General features: G+C 37.4%; 1 protein-coding gene across 11 annotated transcripts in view, besides 1 other annotated feature; it reads right to left on the reverse strand.

Annotated features, from left to right (window-relative positions):
• FERRY3 (FERRY endosomal RAB5 effector complex subunit 3) overlaps positions 1-19,012 on the reverse strand; it is a 50,735-nt gene that overhangs the window by 15,373 nt on the left and 16,350 nt on the right. For 4 of the 11 annotated variants that reach the window (NM_001346156.2, NM_001304811.2, NM_020374.4 and 1 more), the window contains 4 exons: positions 15,667-15,773; positions 14,951-15,148; positions 13,954-14,082; positions 2,199-2,273 (listed from right to left, as the gene is read on the reverse strand). In NM_001346156.2, the coding sequence (NP_001333085.1) occupies positions 2,199-2,273; positions 13,954-14,082; positions 14,951-15,148; positions 15,667-15,773 (509 nt within the window). The remainder of the gene's footprint in view (positions 1-2,198; positions 2,274-13,953; positions 14,083-14,950; positions 15,149-15,666; positions 15,774-19,012) is intronic. The other 7 variants (NM_001346157.2, NM_001346155.2, NM_001346153.2 and 4 more) reach the window with 3 other exon arrangements.
• Positions 6,117-6,751: an enhancer, noted in NCBI's record as "OCT4-NANOG-H3K27ac-H3K4me1 hESC enhancer chr12:4618390-4619024 (GRCh37/hg19 assembly coordinates)". NCBI's record gives its function as "activates a minimal SCP1, AML or CMV promoter by ChIP-STARR-seq in primed H9 embryonic stem cells {active_cell/tissue: H9 hESC(primed)}" and the evidence as "EXISTENCE:reporter gene assay evidence [ECO:0000049][PMID:30033119]".

Here is a 19,012-nt window from a genome sequence, read left to right on the forward strand (position 1 = left end):
GCAGGATGACTTAGTGAACAAGTCAGGTGCTCCTAATCCCCAAATTGGCACTGCTTTCTTTGACCTTAAATGACTTGTTTCTTGGCCTAATTTTACCCATTAATAAAATGGGGGCCATGGGGCTGGCAGTAGTAATCAAATTAATATGATATAGTAGAAAAAGGACCAGATTGGATGTTAAGAAGATGTGATTTCTAGCACATTGGCTGAGTGATCTTGGGCAAATCAATTCAACTTATTGATCCTCTGTTACTTAGTGTATGAGATGGGAAAAATAATGCTGATTGCTTTCCTTACAAGGTTATTATGAGAATTAGATGACATAAACTGTAAATACTTAGATCATTATTAAGTAAACTATGACTGGCTTACAAGTATATAAATAAAACTGTTTTTCTTTGCAATTTAAAAATTAAATTAATTTTTGATTTAGATTTTTTTCATCTACTGTAAACATCCTGGTTGTGTAGGTATACTTTAAATGGAAATTAAGATGCTATTATCTCTAACTGAATACTTTAATATTCCTTTTCTATCTCAGACTTATGATACATCCTCCTGATTTGGTTGTAATACAGAGATAAAGTATACAAATAAGAGAGTCCTTGTTATGTTCTGTGATACAAACACTACTAAGGGTCATCAGAGTGAATTCAATCAGAAACAGGACTGAGAGACTGAACTTCCAGTTGTTAAACAACCTATAGGCTTTTTCCAAAAAAGACTAAGGAAACACATATAGCAACAAAGAGTTATGTTTAAAAAAAAACAGATATTAGTTCTTCCAGAGTAGTAATAAGATTGGCAAATTTTAAGAAAGCCACAAAATCTGGATGATTTAAATTGTGGATCCATGAAGAGAAATACAATAGATCCTTCACTGAAGGTATTTTTAGATGAAGAGGAGGATGGTCTCCTGTTCCACACAGTGGAGGAAACAGCATGTGGTGATGCTAACATTATCCACTAAGATGGGATAACTGAAGGTGGGAGGAAATTTCGAGGCTGATGGCCACAGGCTAACAGACGGGGCCTGACAAGATGAATACCAGCAATGGGTACAATATTGGCTTAGGTTAAATGTAATGTGTTCCCACTGAGTGACGGCGGTTTCGTGTGTAGGTTAATGTGATCTACATGTCAAAGATCTGGGGAAGAAAATGTGAGAAAATTACCTTAAAGGAGAATAAAAAACCATCAAGAGATGGCTATTTCTGAAACTGTAAAATGTACCATTTAGTTAAAAAATTGTATAAAGTGTACAAATAGTCCTTGTTATGTTCTGTGATACAAACACTAAGGGTCATCAGAGTGAATTCAATCAGAAAGAGGATTGAGAGACTGAATTTTCAGTTGTTAAACAACATATTCAAGAATAATAAAGGAGAAAAATGGAAAGCAGAAAAACGTAAGAGGAAATGAAAATAAAATAAATGAGATGATCCATTTTCTTTATATTTAAGTTCAACTGTTTATATCTCTGTGCACTACTGTTCATATATCACTTGATTTTAGCTATAAGGCTGAGAAGTGTATAGTTTATATTTCAGAGTAAAACTAATTTTTTGGTTTATTTCTCAAGAAGCTAAGAAATAGTGTATAAGAGAAAATTTGCAATAGCAAACAATGATAAAACTTATGCAACTTCTTGAGCAATTTTTCTTTTATGGATCTAGAAAAAAGTGAGTACTAGTATAATATTAATAATTTTTAGGCCGGGCATGGTGGCTCACGCTTGTAATCCCAGTACTTTGGGAGGCTGAAGCAGGTGGATCACTTGAGGTCAGGAGTTCAAGACCAGCCCGGCCAACATGGTGAAATACCATCTCTACAAAAAATACAAAAAAAGTAGCCGGGTACGGTGGCGTGGGCCTGTAGTCCCAGCTACTCAGGAGGCTGAGGCAGGAGAATCGCTTGAACCCGGGTGGCAGAGGTTGCAGTGAACTGAGATCGCACCACTGTGCTCCAGCCTGGGCGACAGAACGAGGCTTCGTCTCAAAACAAACCAACAAAATAATTAAGTTTAACACTGGAAAACGTCTGTGAAAGTGTATTATATAGGTACAAAGTGTTGTTTCAAAGTGATATAATGACATATACTAAAATCATAGATTTAAAACATAAATTCCTATGGTGTGCATTATAAAACATCTTTTGGTATAAGAAAACAGTAATTTAAAATAAAAAGAAATACTTACCAGGTAAAACATTTAAATAGTTCCTCTCAGCATTCTTAGTCTTATCATCATTTCCTCCATTTTGGTTTCCAGAATCTATTCATAAGACAATGCAATATGAAAGAACATAACAACATATGAGAATATGTTACTATGACTGCTCCCAAAAGAATCACAACAACAGCAAAAATTCACTAAGGGCATCTATGTGCCAGGCATTCTGCTATATGCTTTACATGGATGATGTCATTTAATTCTTACAAAACCTCTATAACCACAGCCCTGGGAGGTAAGTCCTACTACTATGTCCATTTTATGTATGAGGAGACAGAGGCTTGGATGGGTTAACTAACTTAACCAAGCATGCACAGATAAGTAGTGGAGCCAGGTCTTTAATTCACATACTCAGATTATAAGTCCTATGGTATTACCCATATTAGACATGCCAGTATCCTATTTTTCATCTGGGAGGTTCAGGGCACCAAGTTAACCACATATAAAATAACTTCATTAGATAGTTGTGGTGTGGCCATCTTTATTTTTAGAATCTGAGTCACTGTTGTTGATATAACTTGTTCAGGGCTACAAATAAATGGCTAGTGGGACCAGGAATCACTGTATATTCACCCCATTCCTAAAATTTATTTCTTACCTGACGCTATATACAATTATAACAGATAGGTGAAACTGTTTCAAATGAAACAGCTTTTTTTTCAGATATTTAACAGTTTTTCTTCTTTTTTGAAGGCACGCTATTTCTTAGAAGAATAAATAAAATAAACATTATGATTGAATATACATTATAAAGACTGAATGCAAATTATTTTACATATATATTTTAATAAAAGAGACATCTAAAGTTTATAAGAATTCCATCAGAACTCACAAATGCAAACTGAATATTAGCCTTCAAAGTAGCTATCTTTAAGAGATTGCATATTTATTCCAATTAAAAACTATTTTGGAATCTATTTTGGAATGGCCTTTAGCATCAGAAAATCACATGAAAACAGACCTTCAAACAAGTAAACAGCAAATATCAAAATATTATAGTTTTAAAAGAGATCTGAATAAAAGTAACAATATTTTTATCCAGTGACTTTGATAAATTGATTTATAACACTGTACTTTGTAAATGCACATATTTTATAAATCAAGAGTCAGAGAGATAGAAGGCTTTGATGCTAGAATCCATATTTAATGAATTATCGTTTCTAATATAGAGCCATGTGATTTGATAGGCTTTGAATAGATGTCTAATCGTAGCATAGATTATAAGGAACAATAAAGAAGGACTCTAATCTTGTTCACATGGAGTATGAACAAATAGAATCTCTGTTAAGTAAACGAGAGAGAACAGTTCATAGTCCATTTCCCTTTCCATGTTTTCATGGCAATACCTTGTTTAGTAATAGTAAGAAGATGGCTAGTTTTATTTTTTTTAAATGTATATAAATGTGTATAAACATTTTTGGCTTTTTATCATGGACCACAGAAATATGAAGATGTTAATATAACAACCATAGTAAGAAAAATAATGGAATGTCTTAGAATAAACAAGTAATTGCATATCAGGATGTAAACATGCAGAACACACATGTAGGCGTGCACAGAAAAAGATGGAGAAGGTATTTTCACAAAGTCCTTCTATAACAACATGCAGCTTTAAGAAAGTCTTTTATAAACCTACTTGCATCACTGACTCACTGAAACCACAAAGTAGTTGCTTGAACAAGAACAAAATAAAATCATGATATACACGCACTGCCTTAGCCGTATGTGGTTTAAAAACTTCCTGTCATTGACTGCACACTTTCTATCTCTCATAAATATACTTAGAATCCTCCTCCTCCTTCCACACCTGTCATGATCTCAATCTTCATGCTTTTAGTCACTACTAAGAATAAGGTTAAAATGTTTCTGATCACATTATTGCTAGTTTGTACGAGAAGAAGGAAGCTATTTTTACGTAATATGGATATGAGTTCTTTTTGCGAGGGTTGATAAAAGTAATAACAATTGGTAGAAGAATAAGAGGGTATACCGAGATTTTCTGAAAGGTTTTGTTAGGATATACTTCTATAGGGATTTTCTAATACTCAGCTGGCTCTGTTATATATAACACATATTGCCACAGCAAAACCTCCCTTTAGTGGGAATATAAACTGGTAGAAATACTATACAGAGTAATCGCCAATACTACGGAAAATTATAAACGTATGTGTCCTTTAACCCAGGAATTATCTTTAGGAATCTCTTCTGTAGATATGCTTACTGCTCACACACATGCACAATTATTCATATGCAAGGTTATTTACAATTAGTAGTCATTACTACTTATAGTAACAAAAAATAAGCAATAGATCAAATGTCTATTAGGAGGAGACTGATTAATAACAGGATATCCTGCAACAGACTACTATGCAACAGCATAAAAGTATGAGGATGGTCTTTATGGACTGATACGAAATGACCTCCAAGATAAATTACTCAGTGAAAAAGGCAGAGTACAGAATAGTGTTATGTAGAAAGCTGCCATTTATGTAAAAAAGGAAAATAAGTACACACATACACTTGCTTACACATACATAAACATCTGTCTGGAAGGTACATGTGAGATAGCACTGGGTACCTCTGAAGAGGGAAACTGGATGGCTGGGAACAGAGTTAGGGACACTTTCACTGTATGCTCTTTTGTACAGTTTGAATTGTGAATTTTGAGAGTGTTTTACCTATTTAAAAAATGATTAAAAACATATAAACTATTTTTTACAAGTTTATTGAATAGATAAAGAAACTGCAGTGAACCCTAGTCAAGTTATGCTAGTCAAGTTATGACTAGATAGCCACATTCTAGCTACGGGAGAAAGGAAAGAATTCTGTAATTTCTGGGAGAGAGGAAGATGGGAGATGGGAACAAAGACCCTTCAGAAAGGTCTTCCTTATATCAAGCAAAGATATAATATCTCTCTGCTACTGTACAACAGAAAATATATGCACCTAAAATACTACAATGGTTTCTTTAAACACAGCAGGTGCAAACAAAGAAAAGAAAGAAAAAAGCATTCAAAAGTACCAAACACAGATTTAAAGGTACAAACAGCCCCAATTTTAAAGCTTACCACATTTTATTTCCTGGGCACCAATATCAGGTTTTTATAAGAAATAATTAAATACTTGCCAGGTGCAGTGGCTCATGCCTGTAATCCCAGCACTTTGGGAGGCCAAGGTGGGCAGATCACATGAGGCCAGGAGTTTGAGAACAGTCTGGCCAACATGGCAAAACCCCGTCTCTATTAAAAATACAAAAATTAGCCAGGCACGGTGGTACACATCTGTAATCCCAGCTACTCAGGAGGCTGAGGCACGAGAATTGCTTGAGCCCAAGAGGCAGAGGTTGCAGGGACTGAGATCGTGCCACTGCATTCCAGCCTAGATGACAGAGTGAGACTCTGTCTCAAAAAAAAAAAGGAGAAATAATAAAATACTGTGTATGCATTCAAGCCAGACAAGAGGATGTTTGTGATTTTACATCTATGATACATGAAATATAAGAAAAACACAACTTAAAAAATATTTGAAATGACTATTACCCTAATATTTAGGTCCTGGGGGGAGGAGCCAAGATGGCCAAATAGGAACAGCTCCGGTCTACAGCTCCCAGCATGAGCGACGCAGAAGACGGGTGATTTCTGCATTTCCATCTGAGGTACCGGGTTCATCTCACTAGGGAGTGCCAGACAGTGGGCGCAGGTCAGTGGGTGCGCGAGCCGAAGCAGGGCGAGGCATTGCCTCACTTGGGAAGCGCAAGGGGTCAGGGAGTTCCCTTTCTGAGTCAAAGAAAGGGGTGACGGACGCACCTGGAAAATCGAGTCACTCCCACCCGAATATTGCGTTTTTCAGACCCGCTTAAAAAACGGCGCACCACGAGATTATATCCCACACCTGGCTCGGAGGGTCCTACGCCCACGGAGTCTCGCTGATTGCTAGCACAGCAGTCTGAGATCCAACTGCAAGGCGGCAGCGAGGCTGGGGGAGGGGCGCCCGCCATTGCCCGGGCTTGATTAGGTAAACAAAGCAGCCGGGAAGCTCCAACTGGGCAGAGCCCACCACAGCTCAAGGAGGCCTGCCTGCCTCTGTAGGCTCCACCTCTGGGGGCAGGGCACAGACAAACAAAAAGACAGCAGCAACCTCTGCAGACTTAAATGTCCCTGTCTGACAGCTTTGAAGAGAGCACTGGTTCTCCCAGCACGCGGCTGGAGATCTGAGAACGGGCAGACTGCCTCCTCAAGTGGGTCCCTGACCCCTGACCCCCGAGCAGCCTAACTGGGAGGCACCCCCCGGCAGGGGTACACTGACACCTCACACGGCAGGGTATTCCAACACATCTGCAGCTGAGGGTCCTGTCTGTTAGAAGGAAAACTAACAAACAGAAAGGACATCCACACCAAAAACCCATCTGTACATCACCATCATCAAAGACCAAAAGTAGATAAAACCACAAAGATGGGGAAAAAACAGAACAGAAAAACTGGAAACTCTAAAACGCAGAGCGTCTCTCCTCCTCCAAAGGAACGCAGTTCCTCACCAGCAATGGAACAAAGCTGGATGGAGAATGACTTTGACGAGCTGAGAGAAGGCTTCAGACGATCAAATTACTCTGAGCTACGGGAGGACATTCAAACCAAAGGCAAAGAAGTTGAAAACTTTGAAAAAAATTTAGAAGAATGTATAACTAGAATAACCAATACAGAGAAGTGCTTAAAGGAGCTGATGGAGCTGAAAACCAAGGCTCGAGATCTACGTGAAGAATGCAGAAGCCTCAGGAGCCGATGCGATCAACTGGAAGAAAGGGTATCAGCAATGGAAGATGAAATGAATGAAATGAAGCAAGAAGGGAAGTTTAGAGAAAAAAGAATAAAAAGAAATGAGCAAAGCCTCCAAGAAATATGAGACTATGTGAAAAGACCAAATCTATGTCTGATTGGTGTACCTGAAAGTGATGGGGAGAATGGAACCAAGTTGGAAAACACTCTGCAGGATATTATCCAGGAGAACTTCCCCAATCTAGCAAGGCAGGCCAACGTTCAGATTCAGGAAATACAGAGAACGCCACAAAGATACTCCTCGAGAAGAGCAACTCCAAGACACATAATTGTCAGATTCACCAAAGTTGAAATGAAGGAAAAAATGTTAAGGGCAGCCAGAGAGAAAGGTCGGGTTACCCTCAAAGGGAAGCCCATCAGACTAACAGCAGATCTCTCGGCAGAAACCCTACAAGCCAGAAGAGAGTGGGGGCCAATATTCAACATTCTTAAAGAAAAGAATCTTCAACCCAGAATTTCATATCCAGCCAAACTAAGCTTCGTAAGTGAAGGAGAAATAAAATACTTTACAGACAAGCAAATGCTGAGAGATTTTGTCACCACCAGGCCTGCCCTAAAAGAGCTCCTGAAGGAAGCGCTAAACATGGAAAGGAACAACCGGTACCAGCCGCTGCAAAATCATGCCAAAATGTAAAGACCATCAAGACTAGGAAGAAACTGCATCAACTAACGAGCAAAATCACCAGCTAACATCATAATGACAGGATCAAATTCACACATAACAATATTAACTTTAAATGGACTAAATTCTCCAATTAAAAGACACAGACTGGCAAATTGGATAAAGAGTCAAGACCCATCAGTGTGCTGTATTCAGGAAACCCATCTCAGGTGCAGAGACACACATAGGCTCAAAATAAAAGGATGGAGGAAGATCTACCAAGCAAATGGAAAACAAAAAAAGGCAGGGGTTGCAATCCTAGTCTCTGATAAAACAGACTTTAAACCAACAAAGATCAAAAGAGACAAAGAAGGCCATTACATAATGGTAAAGGGATCAATTCAACAAGAAGAGCTAACTATCCTAAATATATATGCACTCAATACAGGAGCACCCAGATTCATAAAGCAAGTCCTGAGTGACCTACAAAGAGACTTAGACTCCCACACATTAATAATGGGAGACTTTAACACCCCACTGTCAACATTAGACAGATCAACGAGACAGAAAGTCAACAAGGATACGCAGGAACTGAACTCAGCTCTGCACCAAGTGGACCTAATAGACATCTACAGAACTCTCCACCCCAAATCAACAGAATATACATTTTTTTAGCACCACACCACACCTATTCCAAAATTGACCACATAGTTGGAAGTAAAGCTCTCCTCAGCAAATGTAAAAGAACAGAAATTATAACAAACTATCTCTCAGACCACAGTGCAATCAAACTAGAACTCAGGATTAAGAATCTCACTCAAAGCCGCTCAACTACATGGAAACTGAACAACCTGCTCCTGAATGACTACTGGGTACATAACAAAATGAAGGCAGAAATAAAAATGTTCTTTGAAACCAACGAGAACAAAGACACAACATACCAGAATCTCTGGGACGCATTCAAAGCAGTGTGTAGAGGGAAATTTATAGCACTAAATGCCCACAAGAGAAAGCAGGAAAGATCCAAAATTGACAACCTAACATCACAATTAAAAGAACTAGAAAAGCAAGAGCAAACACATTCAAAAGCTAGCAGAAGGCAAGAAATAACTAAAATCAGAGCAGAACTGAAGGAAATAGAGACACAAAAAACCCTTCAAAAAATCAATGAATCCAGGAGCTGGTTTTTTGAAAGGATCAACAAAATTGATAGACCGCTAGCAAGACTAATAAAGAAAAAAAGAGAGAAGAATCAAATAGACACAATAAAAAATGATAAATGGGATATCACCACCGATCCCACAGAAATACAAACTACCATCAGAGAATACTACAAACACCTCTACGCAAATAAACTAGAAAATCTAGAAGAAATGGATAAATTCCTCGACACATACACTCTCCCAAGACTAAACCAGGAAGAAGTTGAATCTCTGAATAGACCAATAACAGGATCTGAAATTGTGGCAATAATCAATAGCTTACCAACCAAAAAGAGTCCAGGACCAGATGGATTCACAGCCGAATTCTACCAGAGGTACAAGGAGGAACTGGTACCATTCCTTCTGAAACTATTCCAATCAATAGGAAAAGAGGGAATCCTCCCTAACTCATTTTATGAGGCCAGCATCATTCTGATACCAAAGCCAGGCAGAGACACAACCAAAAAAGCAAATTTTAGACCAATATCCTTGATGAACATTGATGCAAAAATCCTCAATAAAATACTGGCAAAACGAATCCAGCAGCACATCAAAAAGCTTATCCACCATGATCAAGTGGGCTTCATCCCTGGGATGCAAGGCTGATTCAATATACGCAAATCAATAAATGTAATCCAGCATATAAACAAAGCCAAAGACAAAAACCACATGATTATCTCAATAGATGCAGAAAAAGCCTTTGACAAAATTCAACAACCCTTCATGCTAAAAACTCTCAATAAATTAGGTATTGATGGGACGTATTTCAAAATAATAAGAGCTATCTATGACAAACCCACAGCCAATATCATACTGAATGGGCAAAAACTGGAAGCATTCCCTTTGAAAACTGGCACAAGACAGGGATGCCCTCTCTCACCACTCCTATTCAACATAGTGTTGGAAGTTCTGGCCAGGGCAATTAGGCAGGAGAAGGAAATAAAGGGTATTCAATTAGGAAAAGAGGAAGTCAAATTGTCCCTGTTTGCAGATGACATGATTGTATATCTAGAAAACCCCATTGTCTCAGCCCAAAATCTCCTTAAGCTGATAAGCAACTTCAGCAAAGTCTCAGGATACAAAATCAATGTACAAAAATCACAAGCATTCTTATACACCAACAACAGACAAACAGAGAGCCAAATCATGAGTGAACTCCCATTCACAATTGCTTCAAAGAGAATAAAATACCTAGGAATCCAACTTACAAGGGATGTGAAGGACCTCTTCAAGGAGAACTACAAACCACTGCTCAAGGAAATAAAAGAGGATACAAACAAATGGAAGAACATTCCATGCTCATGGGTAGGAAGAATCAATATCGTGAAAATGGCCATACTGCCCAAGGTAATTTACAGATTCAGTGCCATCCGCATCACAAGCTACCAATGACTTTCTTCACAGAATTGGAAAAAACTACTTTAAAGTTCATATGGAACCAAAAAAGAGCCCGCATCGCCAAGTCAATCCTAAGCCAAAAGAACAAAGCTGGAGGCATCACACTACCTGACTTCAAACTATACTACAAGGCTACAGTAACCAAAACAGCATGGTACTGGTACCAAAACAGAGATATAGATCAATGGAACAGAACAGAGCCCTCAGAAATAACGCCACATATCTACAATTATCTGATCTTTGACAAACCTGAGAAAAACAAGCAATGGGGAAAGGATTCCCTACTTAATAAATGGTGCTGGGAAAACTGGCTAGCCATATGTAGAAAGCTGAAACTGGATCCCGTCCTTACACCTTATATAAAAATCAATTCAAGATGGATTAAAGATTTAAACGTTAGACCTAAAACCATAAAAACCCTAGAAAAAAACCTAGGCATTACCATTCAGGACATAGGCATGGGCAAGGACTTCATGTCCAAAACACCAAAAGCAATGGCAACAAAAGCCAAAATTGACAAATGGGATCTAATTAAACCAAAGAGCTTCTGCACAGCAAAAGAAACTACCATCAGAGTGAACAGGCAACCTACAAAATGGGAGAAAATTTTCACAACCTACTCATCTGACAAAGGGCTAATATCCAGAATCTACAATGAACTCAAACAAATTTACAAGAAAAAAACAAACAACCCCATCAAAAAGTGGGCAAAGGACATGAACAGACACTTCTCAAAAGAAGACATTTATGCAGCCAAAAAACACATGAAAAAATGCTCATCATTACTGGCCATCAGAGAAATGCAAATCAAAACCACAATGAGATACCATCTCACACCAGTTAAAATGGCAATCATTAAAAAGTCAGGAAACAACAGGTGCTGGAGAGGATGTGGAGAAATAGGAACACTTTTACACTGTTGGTGGGACTGTAAACTAGTTCAACCACTGTGGAAGTCAGTGTGGCGATTCCTCAGGTATCTAGAACTTAGAAATACCATTTGACCCAGCCATCCCATTACTGGGTATATACCCAAAGGACTATAAATCATGCTGCTATAAAGACACATGCACACGTATGTTTACTGCGGCATTATTCACAATACGAAGACTTGGAACCAACCCAAATGTCCAACAGTGATAGACTAGATTAAGAAAATGTGGCACATATACACCATGGAATACTATGCAGCCATAAAAAATGATGAGTTCATGTCCTTTGTAGGGACATGGATGAAATTGGAAATCATCATTCTCAGTAAACTATCGCAAGAACAAAAAACCAAACACCGCATATTCTCACTCATAGGTGGGAATTGAACAATGAGATCACATGGACACAGGAAGGGGAATATCACACTCTGGGGACTGTGGTGGGGTGGGGGGAGGGATAGCATTGGGAGATATACCTAATGCTAGATGACGAGTTAGTGGGTGCAGCGTGCCAGCATGGCACATGTATACATATGTAACTAACCTGCACAATGTGCACATGTACCCTAAAACTTAAAGTATAATAAAATAAAATAAAATAAAAAATATTTAGGTCCTAACTAAACAAACCTATGGTACCAATTTAATTTACAAAGAAACCAATATACTTAATGCTAGATGACGAGTTAGTGGGTGCAGCACACCAGCATGGCACATGTATACATATGTAACTAACCTACACATTGTGCACATGTACCCTAAAACTTAAAGTATAATAATAAATAAATAAAGAATAAAATAAACTTTCATTTTTCAATTAAAAAACAGCTGAATTACTCTGCGATTTGAGCCAGAAATTTTTCTTTTACCTGCCTTCCCTTAATCCTCTTCCTATGTGTAGATAGAAAGCTTCTGAAGAAAGATGCCATTAACTTTTTCAATAGCTTTAAAAACCATTTCCAGGATGGAGGTTTCTTAAAAAATTAAAAACAGAACTATCTTATGATCCGGCAACTCCACTTTAGTGTATATATCCGAAGGAAATGAAATTAGTTTCTTAAAGACTTCATTTTGGCATTAGTCACAATAATCAAGATACTAAAAACACACCTAAATGTACACACATACACAAACAGACACACAAAGGAATATTATTCAGCCTTAAACAAGAAAATCCTGCCATTTGTAACAACATGGATTGACCTGGAGGACACTAAGCATCCTGGAGGATGCTAAGTGAAGTAAGCCAGACACAGAAAAACAAATATTATATCATCTCACTTATACATGGAACCTAAAATAGTTGAACTCACACTGATAGAGTAGAAGGTGCTTACCAGGGCTGGGGCGGGGGGAAATGGGGAGATTTTGGTCAAGGGGTACAAAGTTTCAGCCACACAGATGGTTAGTTCTGGAAATCTAATGTATGACAATGTGATTATATTTAACAATATTCTAGTGTATACTTGAAATTCATTAAGAGGACAGATCTTAAGTGTTCTCACCACGGACACAGAAAAGTGGTAACTATCTGAGGTAATAAATATGCTAATTCGTTTGAAGTAATTATTTTACAATATCTGTGTACATTGAATCGTCAAATTGTATACCTCAAATATATACAATCTTTAATTATCAAATACATCTCAATAAATTAAAAAATTTTTTCCTGTAAATTTCCTAAATAGAAAGAATGTTATGTTATGGATAAATATAGAAAAAGCAGTCATTCAAGGATACAGTGATTTTTTTTTAAAAGAACCAAAAATAATTCATTTAACTGACTTCATGCTACTTAAGACAGTCAAAGATATGACATAAAAAGGTGTGTATTTTGTGCTACCTTTTAGTCTACGTTTCCAATCCCCTCTGTAGTAATAATTACGTCCACTTTAAAGATATAGAACTTGGATCAAAAGATCACCAACTTTCCACTGAGTGCCTACTTCAAGTATAACTATAGTACTGAAATTTAACAATAGTTTTCACTCAGAACCTTGAAGAAAATCATCCTCTTAAAAAAGAAAATTAGGCACAGAGTCCAAGCTTCTGAAGATCTGGGTATATATCCAAAGGAATAGAAATCATTCTATATAAAGATACATGCACACGCATGGTCTTCGCAGTACTATTCACAATAGCAAAGACGTGGAATCAACCTGAATGCCCATCAATGATAGACTGGATAAAGAAAATGTGGCACATATACATCATGGAATACATGGTATAAAAGGGAATGAGATCATATCCTTTGCAGGGACATGGATGGAGCTGGAAACCATTATCCTCAGCAAACTAATGCAGGAACAGAAGACCAAACACCACATGCTCTCACTTATAAATGGGAGCTGAATGATCAGAACACACGGACGCATTGTGGGGAACAACACACACTCGGGCTTGTTAGGAGAAGGGAAGAACATCAGGAAGAATAGGTAATAGACGATGGGCTTAATACCTAGGCGATGGGTTGATCTGTGCAGCAAACCGCCATGGCACACGTTTACCTATGTAACAAACCTGCGCATCCTGTACATGCACCCTGGAACTTAAAGTAAAAGTTGAAGGAAAAAAAACCCCAAAAAACCAAAAATACATTTTGATGTTCTTTCTAAATAGAAAAAACTTAAAAAAATCTTAATTTTGTTTTTAATTTCCTATCTTCCACCAACATAATTTTCTATATGATCTTAATACTGATCCACATACTATTACAGTGATTATAGACAGAATATAATAAAAGTGAGTTTTACCCACCAAGTGATTCTTTCAATTTACTCCTGCGCTGGGTTCTAGCATAAAGTACCACCTGTTGGACAACTTCTAATTGCTCTTCAATTCGGGGGAAATGGAAGTCAGTGCATTCTTGGCAAACTGTGGCAAAATCTAAGGGACCCAAAACATTTACAAACTTCTAAATGCGAACTATCAAATATTTAGTATTTACTTACAATGAGATTTAGTAGAAAAAGAAAATAATACTTATTTTTCTTAATAAGATTTCTTATACTTGTCTTTTAAATAATTATGCCTTAAGTTAGGGCACAGCAATTTTGTTTTGATTAGAGACTTAACCTCTCTAACACTCAAAAGAGTTAATTATATTGACATTTCTTTGTTAATGTAATTCCAGGTCTTCTTTAAATAATACTTTCATCATAATCCACCCCAAAAGGTGCTACAAAATATAAGAAGGTTCTTATATTTATGAGGGGAAATAAATTCTATTTAAGCTTCTTTCAAAAACAAGTATACGTTTCATATATTTTATATATTCTACATTTTATATATTTACAAATTTAGAAATAATCATAAAAAGTGAATTGTACTAAGAGGGAAGGTAGAATTTTACCTAGCAAATTTAAGAGGTAGGTTATTAAAATATATATATATATATATATATAGACAGAGAGAGAGAGAGAGAGAGAGAGAGAGACAAATGGATGAGCTAAAAATCACCAAGCCAGAATTTGCTTCTAAACTGAAAACATGTGATTGCTCTTTTTGTTTTACCTCGTAATGAGAATTCTATAAAAACATTATTTATAATAGCATTTTAAGAAAAATAAATATGAAGCACTCTATCGATGCTACAGTTTGAAATAAAATAACTATGGCTGGGTATGTTTGTTTGGTCTACTTGGATGTCAAGGTGATTAAAATTTTTTTTCATTTTCCCTGTAATTCCTTTCTTTGTAAGAATGGTGTTACAGGATGAAATTTAACAAAATAAATGTGTATGATGTTAACTTACCTCTTTTAATACCACTATATGAATTAATTCGATTATCTACTAGTAAAACCAGGCCACAGAGAGATGTAGAATAAAGTGACAGAGCTGTTTGGAGCCGATGAAGTTTCACACCACTTCGATGATTTCTTTTATGCTTACAGAAGTCCAGCATATCTGCTCTCAGCAATCTCAAATTATGCATGGTCTTCAACTGGGCTCCTGGGGGTAGGCAATAGTCCAGGAAAGATACTTAAGCAGCTACAGAAAGTCCAGTATAACAAGATGCAAATCTCTATGGCAAGAATCCAGATAAATCTGTACCACAAAATAATTAAAAATGGGCCTTGCAACTTCCCATTTTAATGACTTTTTCAGTTTAATCTATCTGCAAAAAACATTATATAAATATACAAAACTTAAAGCCAATAAAATATAGTCTTTCTTAAAGTAAAACATAATTTGGAATTAAAAATAACATAGGTACACTCTACTCACATGTTAGGAATTTTTCTCTTACAGCATATAAAAAAAGTTGCAGCGGTCAGGCACGGTGACTCATGCCTGTAATCCTAGCACTTTGGGAGGCCAAGGTGGGTGGATTGCTTGAGCCCAGGGGTTCAAGACCAGCCTGGGCAACATAGCGAAACCTTTTCTCTATTATTTTAAAAAAATAATAATTAAAAAATAGTTTCAGAAGTTACAATAAATTATAACTGCAAAAAAATTAACACACTTACCTAAGTGAATGGTAAAACTTTCTTCTAACTTTCTCTGTTCCTCATAAATCCTTCCAATTGCTTCTACAGATTCTCTGAACTGACTTGGCTGAACTTTAATTTCCTCACTAAAAGTAATAAAATTATTGATATACTTTTATGTTTGTCAAAAACTTTTCTTAAAGGAAAGCTTTATAATGAGAGAAAACTGAACAGCTGAAAGTCTTGCTTAATTTTTTCCTAAACTCATCCTTAATCCATGGTGACAAGTAAGACAGGTAAGCACCAACAGGTTCTAAAATTCCCACTTGTTCTTTCATTTCCTCACAATAAATAAAGCAGATTATTATTTTCAATCATTATAATGTCAATTAATATATTGCCATTTAACACTTTTAGCAGCCTAAGAGAATGATTAAATGAAGCGATTAACTTATTACTTTAAAATCACATTGTATTTTAAAATATATAATACATCCTATACCAGGGCTAGCCCTAGGCAAAATCAGAAAATAGATGAAGTGATAGCAATAAAAATTTAAAGTCAAATAAAGTAGATAATAAAAAAGATGAAGTTCATTTTGATGTATACACACCCTTTACTTTTACCATTTCTTGTTTGTTTTCTTTTTTACCTCCAACATTCTCCTCCCACTAAACTGCCTTTCTTTTTGCTCTCCTCTTTATAGTTCCTGAGAAGACTTCCACAAAAGAGCAATAACCGTATCACCGTTCAATTCCAACAGTGGTATATGCTGAGGATGATACAAGTCTGTACGAGTCATCCATTTCCCTGACTAAATTTTTGGGGCTAATCCCAACAGCCCCATTAGACTCAATGACTGACTTCATTAGTAAATACGGTAAATTTAAATCTAGCCAGATAATCTACAGCAGGGGACCCCAATTCCCCGTACAGGCCTGTTAGGAACCGGGCCGCACAGCAGGAAGTGAGCAGCAGGCGAGTGAGCATTACCACCTGAGCTCCACCTCCCATCCGCTCAGCGGCAGCATTAGGTTCTCATAGGAGCGTGAACTGTATTGTGAACTGCGCATGCAAGCGATCGAGGTTGTGTGCTCCTTGTGGAACAGTTTCATCCCCAAACCCTCTCCAGCTCTCCTGGAAAAAACTGTCTTCTGTGAAACTGGTCCTCGGTGCCAAAAAGGCTCAGAGGACTGCTGATCTACAAAATCATACTTTTCTGGAGTCCATCAAAGATTTGTGATCATAAGGCAACCTAGTAAACTGAATTCCAAACCGTGACATATACCTCCAAGGACAGACAGGACACATAAGGAGTTTCATCTTTGTTACAGCATAGCTGAAATAGGATGCTGTCATACAAGGGGGTAAAAAGAAAGCAGCTAAAATTTTAACAGATTCTTGAAGGCCAAGTGGGCTAGCATATCAAGTTAGAATAGGTCGGAGCCACAGGCACATGAACTTGCAAACTCTTTTCCACTGGCCTCCATCAGGTATTTCCAGAAAACACTGAGGGCAGGAGACAAGAGAGCCTTCTCAAGGGCACAGGCAGAAATGCTGAGAATCAAGATACACGAGGCTTGACCAAACCGGGAGTGGACAAAGACAACAAAGATGGAGAAGAGTTGAACAAAGTGACCTTCCGGACCCCCAACTATGAGCCTAGATTCAAGTAACAAGTAACAAGCCTACTGCTGGGAGGCAGAGCAAAAGTATGGAGGCAGACTCCACTCTGCAGCTCTGGCATGCGAAGGCTGCTGAAAGCAAGGGATGGAGCAGAGAGACAGAGAAAAATCCTCCTGGACCCCCAAGTGCCGTTCTAAGCACAAAGTAGCACCAGTAGAAAATGAAGCCGGTGGTACATTGAAGGTACTGACAGACACGAAACCAAGCTGGGATAAAAGTGGGGTAAAAGACTACACATTGGGTACAGTGTACATTGCTCGGGTGATGGATGCACCAAAATCTTAGAATCACCACTCAAGAACTTATTTGTGTAACCAAACACCACCTATTCCCCAAAAACCTACTGAAATAAAAAAATTAAAAGTTTTTTAAAAATAAAGCCATAAAGTCTACAAATTATATGAAAGCAAGATCTCTAACAAACTTGCCATGCATTTTCAGATTTCTCCAAGCATTGTTCCAGTGAATAAGCTAATAAATAAAGTCTAACGCAAAGGGGAAAAAAAAGGAAACCAAACCTACCTCAACTGCTGATAAGATGTACACAACCTTCACATTAATATTGTTCATTTCTGGACATAAATACTATTAACCTCAGTCTCTTCTAATACCCACAATATCCAGTAATCAGTTAAAAAAAAGAAAAGAAGAAAAATAGGCTGGGTGCGGTGGCTCATGCCTGTAATCCCAGCACTTTGGGAGGCCGAGGTGGGCGAATCACGAGATCAGGAGTTCAAGACCAGCCTGGCCAACATGGTGAAACACTGTCTCTACTAAAAATACAAAAATTAGCCAGGTGTGGTGGCATACGCCTGTAATCCCAGCTACTTAGGAGGCTGAGGCAGGAGAATTGCTTGAACGCAGGAGGTGGAGGTTGCAATGAGCCAAGATCGCGGCATTGTAGGCATTGTACTCCAGCCTGGGAGACAGAGAAAGACTCTGTCTCGGGGCCGGGGAGGAGAAGAAAAAAGAAGAGACAACCAGAAAAGCAAGAAAAAAACCCAACCCACTGTCGAGATAAAGCAATCAACAGAAACAGATTTAGAAAGGATCCAGATATTGGGACGAAAAGAAAGGGACTTTCAAAAAACTATAACCAACATGTTAAAAGATCTAGTGGAAAGGTAGACAACACACAAGGAATTTTAGCAAAGAGCGAAAACAATTGGAAATTCTAGAAATCAAAACATCGTATCAGACCGATGACCACAGATCAACTCATTTTACAATGCCCCCATTAACCTGACACCAAAACCAAATGAAGACGTTGTAAGAAAAACAAACAAACAAACAAACTATAGACCAACATACATGCATAAATATATAGGTTGGTGGATATATGTCATATACATATATCTGTGTGAAACAATATATATCATGACCTATATGTGAAACCTAAAACAATAAAACTTCTAGAAGAAAAAACACAGGATAAAATCTTTGTGATCTTCCATTAGGCAAAGGTATCTTAGGCAAGATAGAAACCATTTAAAAATAGATAAATTGGCAGAGCACAGAGGATTTTTGAGTAACAAAACTACTCTGTATGGTACTATAATAGCAGATACACGTCCTATACATTTGTCCAAACTGACAGAATATACAATGGCAAGAGTGAGCCCTAAAATAAACTATGGACTTTGAATGATTATGATGTCAATATATGTTCTTGATCATAACAAAGGTACCATCTTGCTG

Source organism: Homo sapiens, chromosome 12 (genome assembly GCF_000001405.40).
Source record: "Homo sapiens chromosome 12, GRCh38.p14 Primary Assembly".
Taxonomy (NCBI): Eukaryota; Metazoa; Chordata; class Mammalia; order Primates; family Hominidae; genus Homo; species Homo sapiens.